This window comes from Homo sapiens, chromosome 19, assembly GCF_000001405.40.
Source record: "Homo sapiens chromosome 19, GRCh38.p14 Primary Assembly".
NCBI classification, from domain to species: domain Eukaryota; kingdom Metazoa; phylum Chordata; class Mammalia; order Primates; family Hominidae; genus Homo; species Homo sapiens.
This window is the reverse complement of record NC_000019.10, coordinates 9,289,472-9,311,589: the sequence shown is the minus strand read 5'-3', so window position 1 is coordinate 9,311,589 and position 22,118 is coordinate 9,289,472. Positions and strand designations below refer to the sequence as shown.

The following is a 22,118-nucleotide window of genomic DNA, read 5'->3' as shown; positions in this document are numbered from 1 at the left end:
AGTACAATTTGGAAGTAAATTAGGAAGTATTTTTATATTTTAGAGTTTGGGGAGACATTTAAAAGCAAACTAGGAAACTCAGAAACCATTTTACTAAAAGTATAGATTCATTGGGGATATATAAAATTGAATATATATATTTTTGAGATGGAGTCTTTCTATTGTCGCCCAGGCTGGAGTGCAATGGCGCGATCTCAGCTCACTGCAACCTCTGCCTCCCAGGTTCAAGCGATTCTCCTTGCCTCAGCCTCCTGAGTAGCTGGGATTACAGGCACCCGCCACCATGCCCAGCTAATTTTTTGTATTTTTAGTAGAGATGGGGTTTCACCATGGTAGCCAGGCTGGTCTTGAACACCTGACCTCAGGTAATCCACCGGCCTCGGCCTCCCAAAGTGCTGGGATTACAGGCATGAGCCACTGCGCCTTGCCTAAAATTAAATATTTTATATGGATATCATATTATAAACTAAGAGGAGCAAAATTATGTTATCAACTCAATTGTTGCATAAACATTTGATAGTGTTCATAAAAAATTATTGATAAAATATCTTTATAAACCTGGTTTAAAAAGATTAACTTGATAAGAGGTGCAACCTGTTGTAAACAGCTTACTGAGGAACTTTGGTAATCATTACCGACCAAGACAAGAATGCTTAATTTCTTTCCGACTTATAGTTGAGGAAGCCCTAAACAAACAATAAGAAAAAGAAATGACTCTGGGTGTGGTGGCTTACACCTGTACCCCTAGCACTCTGGGAGGCTGAGGTGAGAGGATAGCTTGAGCTCAGGAGTTTGAGACCAGCTTCAGCAACATAGTGCGATCCCATCTCTACAAAAAAATAAAGAAAATAGCTGGGTGGGGTGGTACGCGACTGTATTCTCAGCTACTTGGGGGGCTGAGATGGGACCATCACTTGAGCTGGGGAAGTCAAGGCTGCAGTGAGCCATGGTCGCGCCACTGCACTCCAGTCTAGGCGATAGAATGAGACATTGCCTCACATAAAGAAATGAGTTATACACATTAAAACAATGAAAATATGCAGAGAAAATATTTATATTTGATGGTTCAAATAATAAACTGACAGCTATCAGAATTCAGCAAGTTTCCAGGAAAAAGGTTCTATTTAAATAATTATCAATGGCTTCCCTCTACAGGAGAAGTTATCAATACAACAATGAAAGGGAAAACTAAAAGGCCCAAAAGGACTGAGTGAGTGTCAAGGAGAGTCTGTTTCCTATTAGAGCTGCAAATATATGTGTCCTGTGTACAGGACTGTAGCAACGTGGAGGATAGGTAGAAACCCGATCGATGAGCATCCTGTATCCGTGGTAGCTGAGAACCTGGATGGGAAGCCCTAGCCTTAGCCCCATCCCTAGGCCTTGTCACTTAAGCCCCGCCCAGCCCTCGTCTCCGCCCCCTAGGAATTTCTACCAAGCCCCGCTCCCAATCTGGTTCCACCTTTAGCCCCGCCCCTTGGAGTATTTAAAAGGCCACGCCCCTAGGTCTAGCCCCAGTTCCGCCCCTCAGGCCGAGTCATGCAAGTCCAGTTCAGGGTTCTGTTTCTTCTCTGTTTACTCCAAATCATGAAGAAACTAGGATTTCTCATCCACTTGCGGCTGGAACCAGCCTTGGCGCTCCTTTGCATCCCGCTCCTACCTGCTCCACCCCCTTCACCTCAAGTCCCGCTTCCCAGGCCCCGCCCCATACGCCATTTGCAGCGCCGAAAGAGGAATCAGAAGTGTGCTTCTGCGCATGCGCGAGTCGACAGCCTTGTCACCCTACGCCTCCGCCCGCGTCTGAGGAACATTTTTGCCTCCGCCCGCTTCCTGTCCTGCCCTGCCCCGCCCCGCCCTGCCTGCCCCGGGTCGGGTCCGCGGGAGACCGAGGGCTGGGTTTGGGAATCGGCGGTCTAAGGGCTGCCTCCCCGCCACTCCTTGTCCGGACCCCGCGCCCGGGGCCTCCCGCCGCCGCGGCGCCTCCTCAGAGAGCCCGGGTCAGCTGCCCCTGTGGCCGCGGCTGGTCCCAAACTCACTGAATCGGGAACTCTGGTCTGGGTACAGAAATCGGGGTGATTCTGATGCAGGCGAGAGTTGGAGAACCAATGTCGTAGTTCATCAGCCTCCGAAAGCATCCTTTGCTCTCTTTCCAGAAAGGAAGAGCATCTCTGCCATTCGTGTCTCAAGGACAAGCGCTTCAGCCTCGTTCTCTGTGAGCTGATCTGTGGATCGCGGCGTGTCGGGTGAGCACGGGGTGACATTTGCCTCGGCTCGGTCCCCTCCTGTCCCCTCTTTATGCATTAGGTAGTGTTTGGGCCAAGCGCGGTGGTTCACGCCTGTAATCCCAGCACTTTGGGCGGCCGAGGCGGGCGGATCGCTTGAGCCCAGGAGTTTGAGGCCAGCCTGGGCAACATAGCAAGATCCCGTCTCTACCAAAAAAAAAAAAAAAAAAAAAAGTAAAATAAAAGGTGCTCTCCTGTGTTCCCAGCTACTCGGGAGGCAGAGGTTGCAGTGAGCTGAGATCGCATCACTGCACTCCAGCCTGGGCAACAGAGCGAGACACTGTCTCAAAAAAACAAAAAGATAGTATTTGGTCTCTGGATATTATATTCTGCCTGTGGACATCAGTTTGATACATTATATTCAAGTGAAAGTGAACTGATGCATTTTGTCATTAATGATGCATTTGAATCATTTGTCTATAGATTGGTTAAATTTCACACAGAAAATTTGGTCATCTGTCAGTTTCAATCTTTTCCCTTTTTATTCCTTGCAGTTTCCATTTCTTTTCATTTCTTTACTGCACTTGCCAGGACCTCCAGTACAATGTCCGACAGAATAGCATGTAATTTACATCCTGTCTTGTTTCTGATTCCAGAGGGAATTATTCTATCATTTCACCATTAAATAGGATGTTTGCTGTAGGTGTTTGTAGGTTTTTTTCCTTTCTTTATTCCTATTTCTTTTTAGAAAATAGGAGTCTCGCTCTGTTGCCCGGGCAGGTCTCGAACTCATGGGCTCTCCGCCTCCCAAAGTGCTGGAATTACAGGCATGAGCCACTGCACCCGGCCTGACCGTGTTTTAAACCGCTGATTTTTTTTTCTTTAATTACTGGGTGTAATCAGGTTTTAGATCACTGCTTGAAAGTTGTACTACTTTCTAGAAATTCATTAATTACCTGTGCATCTTCATATTTATTCCTTAAATTTTTTCTATATTCTCCTTATGATATCTGTAATTATGATTAATTCTTGTTCATTTTTTTTTTGTTGTTGTTGTTTATGCCCTGTTGCTCTTAAAATTGCTGAGTCTGTTGCTGGCTGCAGTGGCGCATATCTGTAGTCCCAGCTGGTGGGAAGCTAAGGCAGATGGATCGCTTGAGCCTAGGAAATGAGATCAACCTGGGAACATAAAGAGTCTGTCTTAAACAATAAATTAAATTAAAAAATTTTTTTAAAAAGCTGAGTTTGTCAGTTTCATTAGTTTTTCTTTTTGCAAAGGATGCTTTTTTAGCTTTTCTGATTTTGTTTACTATGTTTTAAAAAAGATTATTTTCTATTTTCTTTCTAAACTTTTATGCTGGTCTTTATTCAACTTTATATATCAATAGTCTAGCCTATTAATACCGATTTTTTTTTTTTTTTTTGAGACAGAGTCTCGCTGTGTCTCCCAGGCTGGAGTGCAGTGGCGTGATCTTGGCTCACTGCAACCTCTGCCTCCTGGGTTCAAACAATTCTCTGCCTCAGCCTCCCAAGTAGTGGCGATTACAGGCACCTGCCACCATGCCCAGCTAATTTTTTTGTATTTTTAGTAGAGGTGGGTTTCACCATCTTGGCCAGGCTGGTCTTGAACTCCTGACCTTGTGATCCACCCACCTTGGCCTCCCAAAGTGCTGGGATTACAGGTGTGAGCCACCGTGCCTGGCCAGTACTGATTTTTTTTCCTCTAGGAGTTGATAATGCTTATAAATATATAATAGATATACTAAACCCTCTGAAATTCCAGCATGATCTGAAATAGTTATTTTAATTTTCTGCTTCTACCCTGCCACATTACCTGTCCTGACTTGCTAAAGATAAATATGTTACGTGTCTCCTTATCCCTATAATGTGCTACATTTTTTATATAGCATGTATCTCTACCTGATGTATTTTGTTTAATGTCTTACCCAAAATATTATAACATTCATTTGCTTCAGGATTTTTCTTTTTTATTTTTCTATGCCTTATTCCTTGTGACTTCATGTAGTAGGGTCAGGATAAATGTCACCTAAATAAACATGAAACGAAGGAGGTAAGGGCTATAAGGGAAGCATCGTTGCCCAAGACATAGGCCTTAGGAAAAGGAGCTCAAAGATAACATATTTGATTATTTATTTATTTTATTTATTTTGAGACAGAGTCTGGCTCTGTTGCCCAGGCTGGAGTGCAGTGGTGTGATTTCGGCTTACTGCAACCTCTGCCTCCTGAGTTCACACAATTCTCCTGCCTCAGCCTCCTGAGTAGCTGGGACTACAGCTGTGCGCCACCATGCCCGGCTGATTTTTGTAGTTTTAGTAGAGACAGGGTTTCGCCATTTTGGCCAGGCTGGTCTTGAACTCCTGACCTCATGTGATTCCCCCGACCTTGGTCTCCCAAAGTGCTGGGATTACAAGCATGAGCTACCACGCACAGCATATTTGATTAGAATGCTTCATTTGTCCACTCTCTGTAGTGCCCAATAGGGTTCTAGGCTAAATCCTGGTAAAACTAGGGAATAAGGGGCTTAAAAACAATTAAAATTTAAGGTATGTGTTCAAAAATGTACTCACTGGGTGTTTGGGTTTTGAAGACAAATAGGCCTGCATTCATACCCTGCCTCAGCAGCTGTCTAATTGGGTAATATTGAAGATGTGGTTAATTGACTCATTCTAAGATAATTCTAAACTGGTTGTAATAATATTTGATTTGCAGAGCTTCTGTGAGAAATATTCTAAAATGTGGCCATTTCTTTGCAAAGTCATTCTCACATCAGGGTTGTCCAGATGGCATATATTGTTACTAATACAGCAAAGAATGTTACAGTTTTTTATTGGCTTTTTAAAATGCTACTTGTTCCACTGCAGTGGAAGTAACTGTTAACATGTCGTTGTTTGAAATTTGTGAAACAGCACTGCAGATACCACATCAGGGCTGACACAGGTCAAGTGTTTTTTTTTTTTTGAGATGGAGTCTCGCTCTGTCTCCCAGGCTGGAGTACAGTGGCGCAATCTCGGCTTGCTGCAACCTCCGCCTCCCGGGTTCAAGCGATTCTCCTGCCTCAGCCTCCTGAGTAGCTGGGATTACAGGCTTGCGCCACCACGCCTGGCTAATTTTTGTATTTTTAGTAAAGGAGGGGTTTCACCATATTGGTTAGGCTGGTTTGGAACTCCTGACCTCGTGATCCATCCACCTCGGCCTCCCAAAGTGCTGGGATTACAGGCGTGAGCCACCATGCTTGGCCAAGTATTCTTATTCTGCTACTACTGTACTGTGCAGGCAGATTTAGCATGTGTATCACAGCATAGCGGCCTTCTCTGCCTCCAGCATATGGAATTCAATAGGCTGATGCTTGGCCAGGCGCGGTGGCTCACGCCTGTAATCCCAGCACTTTGGGAGGCCGAGGCAGGCGGATCATGAAGTCAGGAGATTGACACCATCCTGGCTAACACGGTGAAACACCGTCCCTACTAAAAACACAGAAAAATTAGCCAGGCATGGTGGTGTGCACCTGTAATCCCAGCTACTGGGGAGGCTGAGGCAGGAGAATGGCATGAACCCGGGAGGTGGAGGTTGCAGTGAGCTGAGATCACACCACTGCACTCCAGCCTGGGTGACAGAGCAAGACTCCATCTCAAAAAAAAAAAATAGGCTGATGCTCTTTCTCAGGTTTTGGGGAACCCTGCAGCTCATGGGGGCAGGGGCAGTGGTCTAGGGCTGAGCAGCAAAGCCTGTTAGCCAGCCAAGGGGTGCAGAAGTAAGAAATATCGGGAGTGGAACTCCCAGAAGCCTGGCATATAAATCAGTGCTTTCTTGAATTTGAGATGGGGAGTGTTTATTCATGTTTTGGAAGATACTCCCTGATACATTTTATACTTTTTGTTATCATGGGCAGATTGACAGCCAGACTTTTCTAGTCTTCAGTTAACTTACAAAATAGCACTCTTAACCTCTTCTTTATGATCAACAAGGACCAGAGCACTGTTTTGTATCTCTAGGGGGACGTAAGGTTGTTCCACTTTCCCACAAGAGCAGGGTATATTTACTTGGGTGTCTTGGGTGTGTGCATGTGTGTGTGTGTGTGTGTGTATGTGTTTTGAGGGGAGTTGTTACTTATAATTGATGGGCTGCAACATCCAGGCTCATGAGTGTGGGAATTTTGGGGAGGTCTGGATTCTCATGTCACCTTTTTTAATTCTAACTTCTCAATATCCTGCTTTTCTTCATGAAGGCGACATGGAGGAAGAAAGAAAAACTGCTGAGTTACAGAAAAATAGAATACAGGTAAGTAAAAGGTGATAATTGTCCAAAAGAATATTTCCATTGTACCAGGTCTCCCTCAGTGTTTTAGGGCACAAGCCAGCAATCTCTTTCTGTATTGGACCACATAGTATTTTAGGCACTGAAGGCTATAGTTTTTTTTTTTTTTTTTTTGAGACAGAGTCTTGCTCTGTCGCCAGGCTGGAGTGCAGTGGCACCATCTTGGCTCACTGTAGCCTTCGACTCCCTGGTTCAACCGATTCTCCTGCCTCAGCCTCCCGAGTGGCTGGGACTACAGGCATGCACCACCACTCTCGGCTAACTTTGTATTTTTAATAGAGATGGGGTTTCACCATGTTGGCCAGGATGGTCTCAATCTCCTGACCTCGTGATCTGTCCGCCTTGGCCTCCCAAAGTGCTGGGATTACAGGCATGAGCCACCGTGCCCGGCCGGCCGTAGTGTTTCTATTGCAATTCAGCTCTGCCATTTTGGTGCAAAAGCAGCCATAGACAGTACATAAACACATTTTATTGTGTTCCAATAAAACTGTATTTATGCATTCAAGTGGCAGCTTGGATATAGTCCATGTGCCATAGTTTGCTGACCACTGGCCTAGAATACAAGAAAGTATGACCAGCTGTGGGCCTGGCTTCAAAATTGTGCTTATGCAGTCTCCTGGGCCTCTCAGTTTTGTGAGGGGGAAAAAAATGAAAGGCTGCTTTTCTCTCGGTGTATTTTTATTCATTAAAATCCCATCTAGATTTGACCCTGTGTTTAATGTTGTAGTGATTGCTATGGTGGGAATAAAGTAACAGGTGAAGTTATTTCTGTAATAAGGAATCGATGATGTCAATGTGGAAATTATTTCATTTCCAGAGCATTTTTCTCATTTCTTCAATATGTTCTGGACTTTTCTAGGCCATCATAAGACTGGCATTGGTCACCATCTATGATATTGTGAAATACATATTTGGGGCTGGGCACGGTGGCTCACGCCTGCAATCCCAGCACTTTGGGAGGCCAAGGTGGGCAGACTGCCTGAGGTCAGGAGTTCGAGACCAGTCTGGCCAACATGGTGAAACGCTGTCTCTACTAAAAATACAAAAAAAAGTAGCTGGGCATGGTAGCACGTGCCTGTAATCCCAGCTACTCGGGAGGCTGAGGCAGGGGAATTGCTTGAACCAGGGAGGTGGAGGTTGCAATGAGCCGAGATCGCGCCACTGCACTCCAGCCTGGGCGACAGAGCGAGACCCCATCTCAAAAAAAAAAAAAAGAAAACAATTTGGTTTTCATCCTATTTCCTAGGACAGAGTTCCTAAAAACCCTTGTAATCTCTAGAGCAATAAGAGCGTCTTTTGTGTGCTCATGAGATGGTTGGTGTCTGGAAGCCCCTAGAGAGACTCAGAATGGGGGCTGGTTCAGAAAGACCCAGGCAAGATCAGAGGATTGGGACTTAAATCAGCCATGCCTGTGATGGAGCCTCCTTAAAAACCCAAAGGACTGGCTTGAGGAGCTCGTGGATAGCTGGACGTGTGGTGGTTCCCGGAGGGTGGCATGCCAGGAGAGGGCATGGAATCTCTGCACCCCTTCCCAGCATACCTTGGCCTGTCCATCTCTTCATCTGGCTATTTTATCTGTGTACTTCGTAATGACCTTGGTGATAAACCAGTAAACATGTTTCCCTGAGTTCTGTGAGTTGTTCCAGCAAATTAATCAAACTCAAGGAGAGGGTAGTAGGAGCCCTGATTTTAGCCAGTCAGAAGTATAATTGACAGCCTTTTAACTTGGGATTGGCATCTGAAGTGGGAGGCAGTTTAGTGGGACCTCCTGTGGAATCTCCAACCTGTGGAATCTCCAGGTAGATAGTATCAGAAGCAAGTTGTAGGATACCCAGCTGGTGTCCACTGGGGAATTGCTTGGTGTTTGTGGAAAATATCCCCCACACATCTGGTGTCAGAAGTGTTCTGTACAGTATTGAGTGACTATGTAAGAGGGTAGGAAAAACACTTTGTTTTTTCCTAGCTCATTGGCATCAGATTGTGGGGAGATAAATTTAATGTTTTTTTGTTTTTGTTTTTGTTTTTTTTTGTCCAGGCTAGAGTGCAGTGGCATGGTCGTGCTCACTGCAGCCTCAACCTTGTGGCTCAAGCAATCCTCCCACCCACCTCAGCCTCCGGAGTAGCTGCCACCATAGGCACATGCCACCACGCCCAGCTATTTTTTAAAAAAATTTTAGTAGAGACTGATTCTCACTATGTTCTGTTGCCTAGGCTGGTCTTGAACTCCTGGGCTCAAGTAGTCCTCCTGCTTTGGCTCCCCAAAGTGCTGGGATTATAGGCTTGACCCAATTTGCCTGGCAATTTAGTGTTTTAGAAGTATTAAATCTATAAGCCAGGATTTGATCAGTGATGAATTATGTGTGGATAGAAAGAGAGAGAGATTTGTTGACTGAGCCCTAGAGTAGATGCTGGGATCTTCTGAACTTCCTATGAATTGACTCTCATTTCCTCGATGTTGTGAGCCTCATCTGTCCTCTTGTACACATTGGAGGAATTGTACCTTTCTGAACAGAATTTGTGGTATGTTTTAGGACTCAGTAGTCTTTGAGGATGTGGCTGTGGACTTTACCCAGGAGGAATGGGCTTTGCTGGATCTTGCTCAGAGAAACCTCTACAGAGATGTGATGCTGGAAAACTTCCAGAACCTGGCCTCACTAGGTAAGAATGGCAAGATTCTTTCATGTAGTTGTTTAGAAAGTTATTTTATCTCACTAAATTGACTTTATTCTAGGATTTGGGCTGAGGAATGGGAAGACATTGGTAAGTAAGACAGATATGGTCACTGACCCCAAGGAACTTACAGTCTAGTGGCTTTGCTATGAAAATAAACACCTGGGCCGGGCGCAGTGCTCATGCCTGTAATCCCAGCATTTTGGGAGGCTAAGGCGGGTGGATCACCTGAGGTCAGGAGTTCGATACCAGCCTGACCAACATGGAGAAACCCCGTCTCTACTAAAAACACAAAATTAGCCAGGCGTGGTGGTGCATGCTTGTAATCCCAGCTACTTGGGAGGCTGAGGCAGGAGAATGGCTTGAACCCAGGAGGTGGAGGTTACGGTGAGCCAAGATCGCTCCATTGCACTCCAGCCTGGGCAACAAGAGTGAAACTCCATCTCAAAAAAAAAAAAAAGAAAAAAGAAAATAAACATCTGTATATTGAACTGATGCTTTTTTTCGTGGTTGAAAGCCTTGAGGTTTATTAAGTATCGAAAGTGTGGGTATAAACCTCAGCAATCACTATAGGACACAGGGAGGAGGTTTGTAGTTTGAACATTTTGAGGATTTTACTGCTATCTGTGTCCTTTACCCAAAGACTACCAGAACACACTTATAGTTAAACAAGTTGGGTTTATTTTGCAGTGCAGCAAGCAAGAATACATGCCTCTTACATGTCCTAGTAAGATGGTGTTAGAAAAGACCTATTACAGGATTTGTGCTTCAGTTGAGTGATTTGGGGATGGGTCTATGGAAGCAGGCTGTATTAGTTTCCTAGACCTTCTGTAGCAGAGTATCACACACTGGTGGCTAAAAACAACGGAAATTTTTTCCTTCACAGCATTTCTGGAGGCTGGGTATCTGAAATCAAGGGATCAGCAGGGCCATGTTCTCTCTGAAGGCTCTGGGGGAAAGACTCCCTTTTCTCTTCCTGGCTTCTGGTGATTGCTGGCAATCATTGGCATTCCTTGACTTACAGATGCATCATTCCATTCTCTGCCTTCTCCTTCTTGCCTGTGTGTCTAAGTCTCTGTCTCCTTATAAGGACACCAGTCATTGGATTTAGGGCCCATCCTAATCCAGTATAACCTTGTCTTGATTATATCTGTAAAGACCCTATTTCTAAATAAGGTAACATTTTGAGGTTCTGGGTGGACTTCTCTCTCTCTCTCTCTCTCTCTCTTTTTTTTTTGTAGGCTTTATTATTATTTTTAGAGCAATTTTAGGTTCACAGCTGAATTGAGTGGAAGGTACAGAGATTTCCCGTATAACCTCTGGCTCCCACATGCATAGCCTCCTCTAATAACAACATCCCCCACCAGAGTGGTAAATTTGTTATAACTGATGAAGCTACATTGACACGTCATCATTGCCCAGAGTCCATCATTTACATTAGGGTTCACTCTTGGTATTGTACATTCTATGAGTTTGGAAGAATATATAATGACATGTATCCACCATTATAATATCATACAGAATAGTTTCACTGCTGTAAAAATCCTGTGTGCTCTATCAATTCATCCCTCCTTCCCTCCCTCTTAAATCTTGGCAACTACTGATCTTTCTGTCTCCATAATGATGTTGCCTTCTGCAAAATGTCATATAGTTGGAATCATGCAGTATGTAGCCTTTTCAGATTGGCTTCTTTCACTTAGCAATATACATTTAAGATTCCTCCATGTCTTTTCATAGCTTGAGAGCTCATTTCTTTGTACCTCTGACTAATATTCTATTGTCTGGATGTACCACGGTTTATCCATTCACCTACTGAAGGACTTCTTGGTTGCTTACACGTTTTGGCAGTTACAAATAAAGCTACTATGAACATTGGTGTGCAGGTTTTTATGTGGACTTAAGTTTTCAACTCCTTTGGGTAAAAGGAGTGCAATTCAGTTGCTGGATTTTATGGTAAGAGGATGTTTAATTTTATAAGAAACTGCCAGCCGGGCGCGGTGGCTCATGCCTGTAATCCTAGTACTTTGGGAGGCCGAGGCGGGTGGATCACGAGGTCAGGAGATCGAGACCATCCTGGCTAACAGGGTGAAACTCCATCTGTACTAAAAATACAAAAAATTAGCCGGGTGTGTTGGCGGGCACCTGTAGTCCCAGCTACTCGGGAGGCTGAGGCAGGAGAATGGTGTGAACCTGGGAGGCAGAGCTTGCAGTGAGCTGAGATCACACCACTGCACTCCAGCCTGGGCGACAGAGCGAGCATTCCAGCCAGCAATGAATGAGAGTTCCTGTTGCTCCTCATCCTCACCAGCATTTGTTGTTGTGAATGTTCAGGATTTTGGCCATTCTAACAGGTGTGTAGTGGTGCCTTGTTTTAATTTGCATTTCCCTGATGACTTATGATGTTGAGCATCTTTTCATATGCTTATTTGCCATCTGTATATGTTCTTTGGTGAGGTGTCTGTAAAGGTCTTTGGCTCATTTTTTTGTCTTTTTTTTTTTTAAACATTGTTGAGTTTTAAGAGTTCTTTGAATATTTTGTTTGTTTTTTTCTGTATGATATCTGCTACAGTCTTTGTATATTTTTGATAACAGTTCCTTCTCAGATATGTTTTTTGCAAATATTTTCTCCCAGGCTGTGGCTTATCTTTCCATTCTGTTGACATTGTCTTTCAGAGGGCAGAAATTTTTAATGTTAATGAAGCTCAATTATTGATTCTTTGTTTTATGGATCATGCTTTAGCATTATTATCTAAAATATCATTGCCAGGGTGTGGGGGGCACGCGCTGGTAGTCCCAGTTACTTGGGAGGTGGAGGCTGGAGGATCACTTGAGTCCAGGAGTTTGAGGCTGCAGTGAGCTATGATCACACCACTACTACAGCCTGGGTGATAAAGTGAGACCCTGTCTCTTAAAAAAAAAATTAAAAATGTCAGGCCAGGCATGGTGGCTGACGCCTGTAATCCCAGCACTTTGGGAGGCCGAGGCGGGTGAATCACGAGGTCAGGAGATCGAGACCATCCTGGCTAACACGGTGTAACCCCGTCTCTACTAAAAATACAAAAAATTAGCCAGGTGTGGTGGCAGGCACCTGTGGTCCCAGCTACTCAGGAGGCTGAGGCAGGAGAATGGCGTGAACCCAGGAGGCAGAGCTTGCAGTGAGCTGAGATTGTGGCACTGCACTCCCGCCTGGGCGACAGAGCGAGACTCCGTCTCAAAAAAAAGAAAAAAAATTTAAAATGTCATTGCCAAACAGAAGGTCATTTAGATTTTTCTCCTGTTATCTTCTAGGAGTTTTCTAGCTTTGCATTTTACAGTAAGGTCTGTGACCCATTTTGCGTTAACTTTTGTGAAGGGTCTAAGGCCTGTGTCTAGATTTATTTTTTTGCTTGTGGATGTCCAGTTGTTCCAGTACCAATTGTGGGAAAGACTTAGCTTTTCTCCATTGTATTGCCTTTGCTATTTTGTCAAGGTCAGCTGACTGTATTGGTGTGGCTCTGTTTCTGAACCCACTGTGCTTTTCTGTTGATCCATTTGAACATAAATTTTGAGGGGACGTTGTTCAGCCTAGTGACACAGGCAGTCATTTTAGATTGGTTGCTGACAGAAAGTGGATAGTATTGCTGGTTGCTGACAGTATTATTCAATAATACTCTATTATTGAGTATGTTGTGGGTGGCATAAAGTCTTTAGACAAAATTATGAGGTAACCTTGTTTTGTTTCATTTTATCATGATTTCAGAGTAACTTTATCCAAGATTAGTATTTTGTGAGATTATTTATATTCTATAGGAGAACAAAATGTCCCAGTTGTGACTGTCTGACCAGCTTGTAATGATATTGAGGTTTAGGTGTGAACATTAGATCAGTTCTGTATGTCAGAAGCTGCTTCCTCCTGCCACCTCTCCTTTTTTTTTTTTTTTGAGATAGAGTCTCGCTCTGTCGCCCGGGCGGGAGTGCAGTGGCACGATCTCAGCTCACTGCAACCTCCGCCTCCCGGGTTCAAGCAATTCTCCTGCCTCAGACTCCTGACTAGCTTGGATTACAGGTGTGCTCCACCACACCCTGCTAATTTTTGTATTTTTAGTAGAGACAGGGTTTCATCATGTTGGCCAGGCTAGTCTCGAACCCCTGACCTCGTGATCTGCCTGCCTCAGTCTCCCAAAGTGCTGGGATTACAGGCGTGAGTCACCGCACCCAACCTGCCACCTCTCCTTTTTTTAAAAAAAAAAATAAATAAATTTGACATTTTGTTGCAGTTAAACTCACAGTTGTCCATTTTTGGAATATCAGAAGACTAAAGTTTTGTTTCTGTTTCATGGAAATGTTAGTGATTCTTCATTATTTTCCCTCGTGATATGCCTTTCTGCTTGTGCAGGGTATCCGCTACACACACCCCATCTGATCTCCCAGTGGGAACAAGAGGAGGACCTGCAGACAGTGAAGAGAGAACTTATCCAGGGCATCTTTATGGGAGAGCACCGGGAAGGCAAGAACCCTTGGGAGAAACTGTTTTGGTTGGGGGAAAAAATAAACTTAAAGTAAAAAACAAAAACAAACTTTGTTTTATATGAGGAAGCTCATCTTCCACAGATAGCTCAGATGACTATTTTGACTTTTTATCAGTCCTCTCGCATTTTCCTTGTTCTTGGCAAAGACCTTCCACGTTTCCTCTTTGTAAGTTGGCATTTGGTCATGTGCATTTTATCCAATTTCTGTTTTGTTCTCCTAATACTATATTAGTTATGTTAGTTTCAATCTTCATAAAATTATTTCTTAGTTAATTGCTTACCATTTTGACCCTTGTGCCTATTAATACCAAAGTCCTGAAATAGTCACTCTGCTAAAAGTCCTTGGCTCATGGAAGCTTTCACTTTTTTTCGTTTCAGGTTTTGAGACTCAACTTAAAACTAATGAATCAGTTGCTTCACAAGATATTTGTGGAGAAAAAATATCCAATGAACAGAAAATAGTAAGATTCAAAAGGAATGATTCCTGGTTCTCCAGTTTACATGAAAACCAGGAGTCCTGTGGTATTGATTATCAGAACAAAAGCCATGAGAGACATTTGAGGTGAGTGCCATTCGTGAGAAAGAGAAAGTGCCTCAGGAGAGAATCTTAAAATTAAAGTCATGAAATTTAAGAAATATGTATATATAAATAAGCCTAGATCAAAGATTGTGGTTTGAGAAAGAATTTTCATGAGTTAATTTTTTCCACAAATGAGACCGGGATTTTGAATGTTTGACACATACTTCAGTTGTAAACAATTATCAGAAAAATCCCGTGAGTCAATAACTCAGTGACAGTATTGGCTGTCGTAGAGCCCTCTGTGAAAACTTTCAGCTTAAACTTGACAGAAGGGCAGAAAACATATACATTCACTGAAATTGGTAGAAATTTATTACTAATAATGTGTCTTTTATTTTTAAAAGAAATCATATGGTAGAGAACATCTATGAATGTTATGAAGAAAATCAAGATGGACAGACTTTCAGCCAAGTTCCAAATCTTGATTCACTCAAGAGAAATACTGAAGTAAAATCCTGTGAATGCCATGAGTGTGGAAAGGCCTTCGTGGATCATTCATCCCTTAAGAGTCACATCAGGTCTCATACTGGAAGCAAACCCTATCAGTGCAAGGAATGTGGGAAGGCCTTCCATTTTCTTGCTTGTTTCAAGAAGCATATGAAAACCCCCACTGAAGAGAAGCCCTATGAATGTAAGGAATGTACCAAAGCCTTCAGCTGTTCCTCATTCTTTAGGGCACATATGAAGATTCACATCGGAAAGACAAACTATGAATGTAAAGAATGTGGGAAAGGTTTTAGTTGTTCCTCATCGCTCACAGAACACAAAAGAATTCACAGTGGAGATAAGCCTTATGAATGTAAGGAATGTGGGAAGGCCTTCAGTTGTTCCTCCTCACTCTCCAAACACAAAAGAATTCACAGTGGAGATAAGCCATATGAATGTAAGGAATGTGGGAAGGCCTTTAGCTCTTCCTCTCACCTTATAATACATATAAGAATTCACACTGGAGAGAAGCCTTATGAATGTAAAGAGTGTGGGAAGGCCTTCAGCGAGTCCTCAAAACTCACTGTACATGGGAGGACACATACTGGAGAGAAACCCTATAAATGTAAGGAATGTGGGAAAGCCTACAATTGTCCCTCCTCCTTAAGTATCCATATGAGAAAACACACTGGAGAAAAACCGTATGAATGTCTGGAATGTGGAAAGGCCTTCTACCTTCCCACTTCCCTTAATACACATGTGAAAAATCAAAGTCGAGAGAAACCCTATGAATGTAAGGAATGTGGGAAGGCCTTTAGTTGTCCCTCGTCCTTTAGAGCACATGTGAGAGATCACACTGGAAAGATACAGTATGAATGTAAGGAGTGTGGGAAGACCTTTAGTCGTTCCTCATCCCTCACCGAACACCTAAGAACTCACAGCGGAGAGAAGCCGTATGAATGTAAAGAATGTGGGAAAGCCTTTATTAGTTCCTCCCACCTTACAGTACATATCAGAACTCACACTGGAGAGAAACCCTATGAATGTAAGAAATGTGGGAAAGCCTTTATTTATCCCTCAGCCCTTAGGATCCACATGAGAACGCACACTGGGGAAAAACCCTATGAATGTAAGGAATGTGGGAAAGCATTTCGTCATTCTTCATACCTTACTGTACATGCAAGAATGCACACTGGAGAGAAACCCTTTGAATGTCTGGAATGTGGAAAAGCTTTCAGTTGTCCCTCATCCTTTCGAAGGCATGTGAGAAGCCACACTGGAGAGAAACCCTATGAATGTAAGGAATGTGGGAAAGCCTTTGTTTGTCCTGCCTACTTTCGAAGGCATGTGAAAACTCACACTAGAGAAAACATATAAATGTAAGGAATATGGGAATGTCTGCAAAGCTTCAGATCCTAGGCAACATGTGAGATCTCATACTGTGGAGACACCCTATGAATGTAAGAAAGTAGGAAATTGTTGCTCATCGTTTTGAAGATTTGAGGACACTTTAGAGAAACCCTGTGTATGTAAGTCATGTGCTAAAGCCTTTATGAACATTGCTTATTATGTATAAGAAAATCTCTACTAGAAATGAAGATCAGTGCCTCATCCTTAAAGTAGAATGCTGGCTCGTTGATTACCAGTGTTTTCTGATAGGAACATTGAAGGTGATAAATTTACCTTTTCAGCTCTAGCCACATACTTTTTAGTATGAGGTGCTTTAATTTTGGTTCTGATGTAAATATGATTTCCATTACAAAATCTTTTGGATCATGGAGGACACGAAATATTTTTTCTGTATAGGCAGCAGTGGTCTTTTTTAAAAAAGTGGTTTCTAATTAATGTTCATTGTTCTTTAAATGGGTAGTCGTTATAATATTGACAAACCAATATAATATTGACAAACCAAAAACCAAATATTGATTTTTGTTGATGTTTTGTTTTTAGTCTACATGGCAGATAATGGAACTTGCCCACTCAATATTTTTCTTCCTATTCTTTTTTGCTAAGAGACGTTAGAGTTTCTGAGATGATAAATTTTTACTATTAAAAGCTTTTATTGTCTAGTGAGTAATTTCAGCAGAAATTAATTTAATATACTATTTTTATATTTTATTCTTTGTCCTTGCTCGTGGCTGGGAATTGGATCCAGTGTTTTGAGTGTAAAAATTGTGTTACATTAACTACATTTCCCAGAATCACTTTTTTCTCCAGTTCTAGGTTAGACTTGTCTAAAATAAGAGTTTGTACGAGATTTGGAAGGCATAAGGGAAGAAAAAGCTGTTATGCTATGTTTAGTGGGGCCATCAGACAGAGAGACAGATGTATAAAGGCCTGGTGACCTCTAGTTTTCAGCTCATTTTTCTGACTGTTGGACTCATTGATCAATATTTGCTCAAAACTGAATGTTATAGCTGGACGTGATGGTGCATACCTGTGGTCCCAGCTACTCAGGGAGCTGAGGCTGGAGGATCACTTGAGCCCAGGAGTTTGAGGCTGCAGTGAACTATGATCATGCCACTGCACTCCAGCCTGAGTGATAGAGTGAGACCCTTTCTCAAAAACAAAACAAAACGAAATAAAAAACCAAACATTAAATGCTTGCTTGACCTCAGTGTCTTCCAAGGCAGCATCTCTAAAGCTATCACCAGATACAGCTTCTTGGATTTTCTAGCAAGCTCTGGCATTGCCATTTTGCTTATGTTGCAGTCTTTCTTACACAGTCCAATCGCATCATGTCATGCTATTCATGGGGAAAAATACGTTCGCAAGTCTCAAAAGCAAGAGCTGTGGAGAGTGAGGGAAGTTACCCTTGGTAATTGAGGTAAGCATCCACAGGGTATCATCCTGTTTTAATGGAGGAAGATTTATACTTGACACCTTTAAACAGGAAAGATTTTACTGCTTTTTTTTTTTTTTTAAATGTAAGAAGATGAATTGCTTCAGGTACCTTTAGCTACAGTATTATATTTTCCCTTTAAAAGTATAATCTACTACTGTGATATTTCCCTCCTATTATATTTTCTCTTTAAAAGTATAACTCTACTATTTCCCCATAATCACTTTTTATTTTATTATACATATACTAACATGCATGAAGTGTGCTAATCTTCAATGTACAGCTTAATGACATTTCATGTATGTACATGTCCTGGTAAACAGAACATTTCCAAGACTTTAGGAAGTTCCTTCATCCTCTTTCTCAGTGATAATTACTCCACAGGGCAACCACAATTTTGACTCTTACTATAATTGACTTGGTGTGCTTGTTCTTGATTTTCATCCAAATGTTAAAATACAATATATACAGTTATGTGTTTTGACTTCTTTTGCTCAACATAATGTGTGGTTTGACTTTTAATTGTTCTTTTGATAGATGTATGGGCTTATTTATCTTGGTATGTGCTATATGCTCAGGAATGAATTTACTGAATCATAGGGTAGACTTTAAATTTAGTTTTGGTAGGTATTGCAGTTTTCAAAAAATATCGATTCCACGAATAATCCCCAAAACAATGCATGAAAGTTCCAGTTGTTTCACACACCTGTCCAGCTCTTTCTGATTATAGTCATCCAGCAGACAGTGTGCATTTACCTGATGTGTAATGATTTCGAGTACTTTTCGATGTGCTTATTGGCTATTTGGATTTTTTTTTTTTTTGAGGGCACCTGTTGAAACATTTCATCCATTTATGATTTCTTTTCTTTTTTTTTTTTTTTGAGACGGACTCTTGTGCCCAGGTTGGAGTGCAGTGGCGTGATCTTGCTCACTGCAATCTCCGCTTCCTGGGTTCAAGTGATTCTCCTGTCTCAGCCTCCTGAGTAGCTGGGATTACAGGCGTGTGCCACCACACCTGGCTAATTTTTGTATTTTTTAGTAGAGACGGGGTTTCACCATGTTGGCCAGGTTGGTCTTGAACTCCTGACCTCAGGTGATCTGCCCACCTCGGCCTCCCAAAGTGCTGGGATTATAGGCGTGAGCCACTGCACCCAGACTTATGGTTCCTTTTTAAAAAAAAAAAAAAATTGAAAGGTTTCCTTCTGGTTACTTGTCCTTTATTGTATGTATGTATATCTATATCTAGGTACACATGCATAGATATGTATAAACCATGTATCATATATTACATATATACATAAAATATGTATATTATATATACATACATTACAGATAACATTTCCCAATCTCTGTCTTGTCTTTTCACTCTTTAAAGGGAATTTGTTGGTTTAAATAATTTATTACTAAAAAGTCCTTGGGTATAACGAGCTTCAGACATGGCTAAATCCTGGGGCTAAAAAAATGTTATCTAGTTGAATTCTGTCTCCCTGTCTTGGCTGTGCATCCTCCTGCATTAGTGTTTCTTCCAAGCAGGTTGTCTCTTCATAGATGGCCCCAGAAACTCTGGCTACTTTCTTCCCAACTTAAAGTCTCAGGGAGAAAAGAGTGATTGTCTTTTTGAGTGGTTCCAATATGATGATCAGAATTGAATCTCGTTGGCTCTGATTGGCTCACTTGCCCACTGTACTCTAGTCACTGGCCTGGGGAATGTAATACTCTCATTTGTTTAGGGTTAGTGCCTGTTCTTATCCAGAAACTGGATTAGAGTCTGCACTGACTGAATCATAGAGTCCTGGCAGTTTTGGGGCATATGCAGAGGGGAGGAGGAAGGAGTGGGCAGGTAGGATCTAAAAGCAGTGGTAATGTTAGCTGTTATGCTGGTCTTAGCAGCAAGTGGGAACTGTGAAGTCTGGGAACTCAGCCAGGGTTAGGTAGTTCCTAGATAGCATTTTAGAAAGGTCAGGTGTCATCCATTAACATGTGTTTAGATTGCTAAAGATTGCTGCTTGGCCAGGCACAGTGGCTCATGCCTATAATCCCAGCACTTTGGGAGGCCGAGGTGGGCGGATCACCTGAGGTCAGGAGTTTAAGACCAGCCTGGCCAACATGGTGAAACCCTGTCTGTACTAAAAAAATTAGCCAGGCGTGGTGGCCTGTGCCTATAATCTCAGCTACTCAGGAGGCTGGGGCAGGAGAATCACTTGAACCCAGGAGGTGGAGTTGCAGGTAGCCAAGATTGTGCCAGTGCACTCCAGCCTGGGCAACAGAATGAGACTCCGTGTCAAAAAAAAAAAAAAAAAAAGATTGCTGCTTAATCTTTAATGAGCATAAAGATCAACTTGAGATCTGACACCTGTTTAAGAATTATTTGCCTGGACCAAGATAATGAATCTACTCTCCTATGTTTCCTTCTAGATTCTTTATTGTTTTTTTATGTAGGTCTGTGATCTACTTTGAATAATTTTTTGTAGCGTGTGAGGTAGGATCAAGGTGTGTGTATATAGATTTATCAAAGAGACCATGGTTTCCTCTTTGCTGAGGTGATCTCTGCCTCTTGGTTCATTTGTCTTTTCTTGCATCAATACCATACTATCTTAATTTATGTTGCTTTGTAATATTTTTGGAAATCTGGTAGTGAAAGCCTTCCAACTTTTTTATTCTTTAAGATTGTCTTGCCTTCTCTGTTCCCCATGTTTCCTAAATTAATTTTGGAATCTCAGGATTAATTTTCACAAATGAATTTTTGGTACTATGCCTGTAATTGCATTGGTTTTATAAAATAACCTGAGGATAATTGACATCTTTACAATATCGAGTTTTCCAGTTGATGAATATGGTATAATTGTCCATTTACCTAGGTTGTCTTTAACTTTTCTCAAGAGTGTTTTATAGTTTTCATTGTAGAAATCTTGATTTGTTTAATTTATTTCTAGTATATTTTGCTTTGTATTTTTAATTTGTTTTTCAATGTTTTTGGCTAGCACGTAGAATTGCAATATCTTTTTGTATATTGACTTTATAGCTGGTGACATTTATAAATTCAATTATTTATTCCAATACTTTGTGGATTTTGGATTTTCTATATATATATAATCCTGTTAATACCAATAAAAGAAAGTCTTACCTAACGTCTAAACTTTATTTTTTGCTTATTTTTCTTGCCTTATTTCTTTAGAATAATGAACAGAAATGAATGTGAATATCTTTGCCTTGTTTCTGAACTTAGGGAAATGTGTTTAATATTTCACCATTAAGTATGATACTACCTAGAAGTTTTTTATAAATAACCTTTATCAAATTAAGGGAATTCTGTTTTATTCTTGGATTGTCAAGATTGTTTTGTAAAAATCATGAATGGACATTAGATTTTATCTAGTGCCTTCTCTAGATAAAGAGAGTCTTTATCAGAGTCTTTAAGAAATCCTTGTCAATCCTGAGAGGTCTGGAAAAAAAAATTCTTAAATCTGTTAATAAGGTGAATTATATATTCCTTGATTTTCATATGGTAAAACAACATCTATTACTGGAATAAACCACACTTGGATATGGTTTATTAGCCTTTTCATTTTTGCTAGATTCAATGTTACTTTTAAAAAAGTATTTCTGTGTCTATGTTCATGAGAAGGTTGTCCTGTGATTTCTTTTATCATAATATACTTGTCTGTTTTGTATTAGGTTTATATTGTCTTATAAAAGTTGAAAACTATTCTGAAAGGTGCTATAAAATCGCAGCTCACTGCAGCCTCGACCTCCTGGACTCAAGTGACCCACTTGCCTCAGCCTCCTGAATAGCTGTGACTACAGGCACACACCACCATACCCAGCTATTTTTTTTTTTTTTTGTAGAGACGGGGTTTCACCATGTTGCCCAGGCTCGTCTTGAGATCCTAGGCTCAAGTGATCTGCCCACCTTGGCCTCTCAAAATACTAGGTTTACAGATGTAAGCCACCATGCCTGTTTGTGACCTTTCTTTCAATAGATCCTTTTTTTCTTTCTCCTTCAGAAGGTGGTTTCATCCCATGGTCCAAGTACTTTGACTTTCACTGCCACATTCTAGAAAATTAATGCCCCCATTTCCTCACTCCTTGTATATTCATGCCCTTTGCTATGTGACTTGTTTTGGGCAATGGAACGTTAAGCAGTAAAATATGAGCAGAGGCTTTAAACATGCTTGTGTAGTTTGGTTTGCTAACTTTAGCACTTCTGGCACTGCTACAGACACAAGAGTAGCTAAATGGCTCAGTGGAGCCCAATGCAGATCAACTCCCAGATTTGTGAGCTAAATAACATGCTTGATGTTTTGCCTCTGGGATTTTTGTGATCATTTGTTAGGCAGCACATTGGAGCAATAGCTAACTGATACACACATTGGCTAACAACTCCCAAATTCAAATCATGGCTCAGACTCCTCCTCTGAGCTCCAAACATATATTTGCATGGCTGATAATCATCTTCAAAATAACATGCCCCAAATAGAACTTTTCTTTAGCAAGCTACCCTTATCATACCTGTTCCACCCTTATAAATGACACTGTAC

General features: G+C 41.7%; 1 protein-coding gene across 1 annotated transcript, besides 3 other annotated features; it reads left to right on the top strand.

Moving 5' to 3' along the window:
• Positions 1,653–1,772: an enhancer, noted in NCBI's record as "active region_13927". NCBI's record gives its function as "activates an Ori minimal core promoter by ATAC-STARR-seq in GM12878 lymphoblastoid cells {active_cell/tissue: GM12878}" and the evidence as "EXISTENCE:reporter gene assay evidence [ECO:0000049][PMID:35858748]".
• ZNF699 (zinc finger protein 699) lies at positions 1,752–20,450 on the top strand. Its single transcript, NM_198535.3, has 6 exons — positions 1,752–2,240; positions 6,466–6,518; positions 9,086–9,212; positions 13,600–13,710; positions 14,111–14,294; positions 14,657–20,450. The coding sequence occupies exons 2-6, from the start codon at positions 6,471–6,473 to the stop codon at positions 16,113–16,115; spliced, it is 1,929 nt and encodes a 642-aa protein (NP_940937.1). The 5' UTR covers positions 1,752–2,240; positions 6,466–6,470; the 3' UTR covers positions 16,116–20,450.
• Positions 1,833–2,082: a silencer, noted in NCBI's record as "silent region_10037". NCBI's record gives its function as "represses an Ori minimal core promoter by ATAC-STARR-seq in GM12878 lymphoblastoid cells {active_cell/tissue: GM12878}" and the evidence as "EXISTENCE:reporter gene assay evidence [ECO:0000049][PMID:35858748]".
• Positions 14,842–15,437: an enhancer, noted in NCBI's record as "OCT4-NANOG hESC enhancer chr19:9406829-9407424 (GRCh37/hg19 assembly coordinates)". NCBI's record gives its function as "activates a minimal SCP1, AML or CMV promoter by ChIP-STARR-seq in naive and primed H9 embryonic stem cells {active_cell/tissue: H9 hESC(naive and primed)}" and the evidence as "EXISTENCE:reporter gene assay evidence [ECO:0000049][PMID:30033119]".
• Positions 20,451–22,118: the final 1,668 nt, after the last annotated feature.

Excerpts from the sequence above, each read along its gene's own strand:
- ZNF699 (NM_198535.3), top strand. The coding sequence starts at position 6,471 with ATGGAGGAAGAAAGAAAAACTGCTGAGTTACAGAAAAATAGAATACAG. Across the intron at positions 13,711-14,110 it reads TATGGGAGAGCACCGGGAAG|GTTTTGAGACTCAACTTAAA; the intron begins GCAAGAACCCTT and ends TTTTCGTTTCAG. Across the intron at positions 14,295-14,656 it reads AGCCATGAGAGACATTTGAG|AAATCATATGGTAGAGAACA; the intron begins GTGAGTGCCATT and ends TATTTTTAAAAG.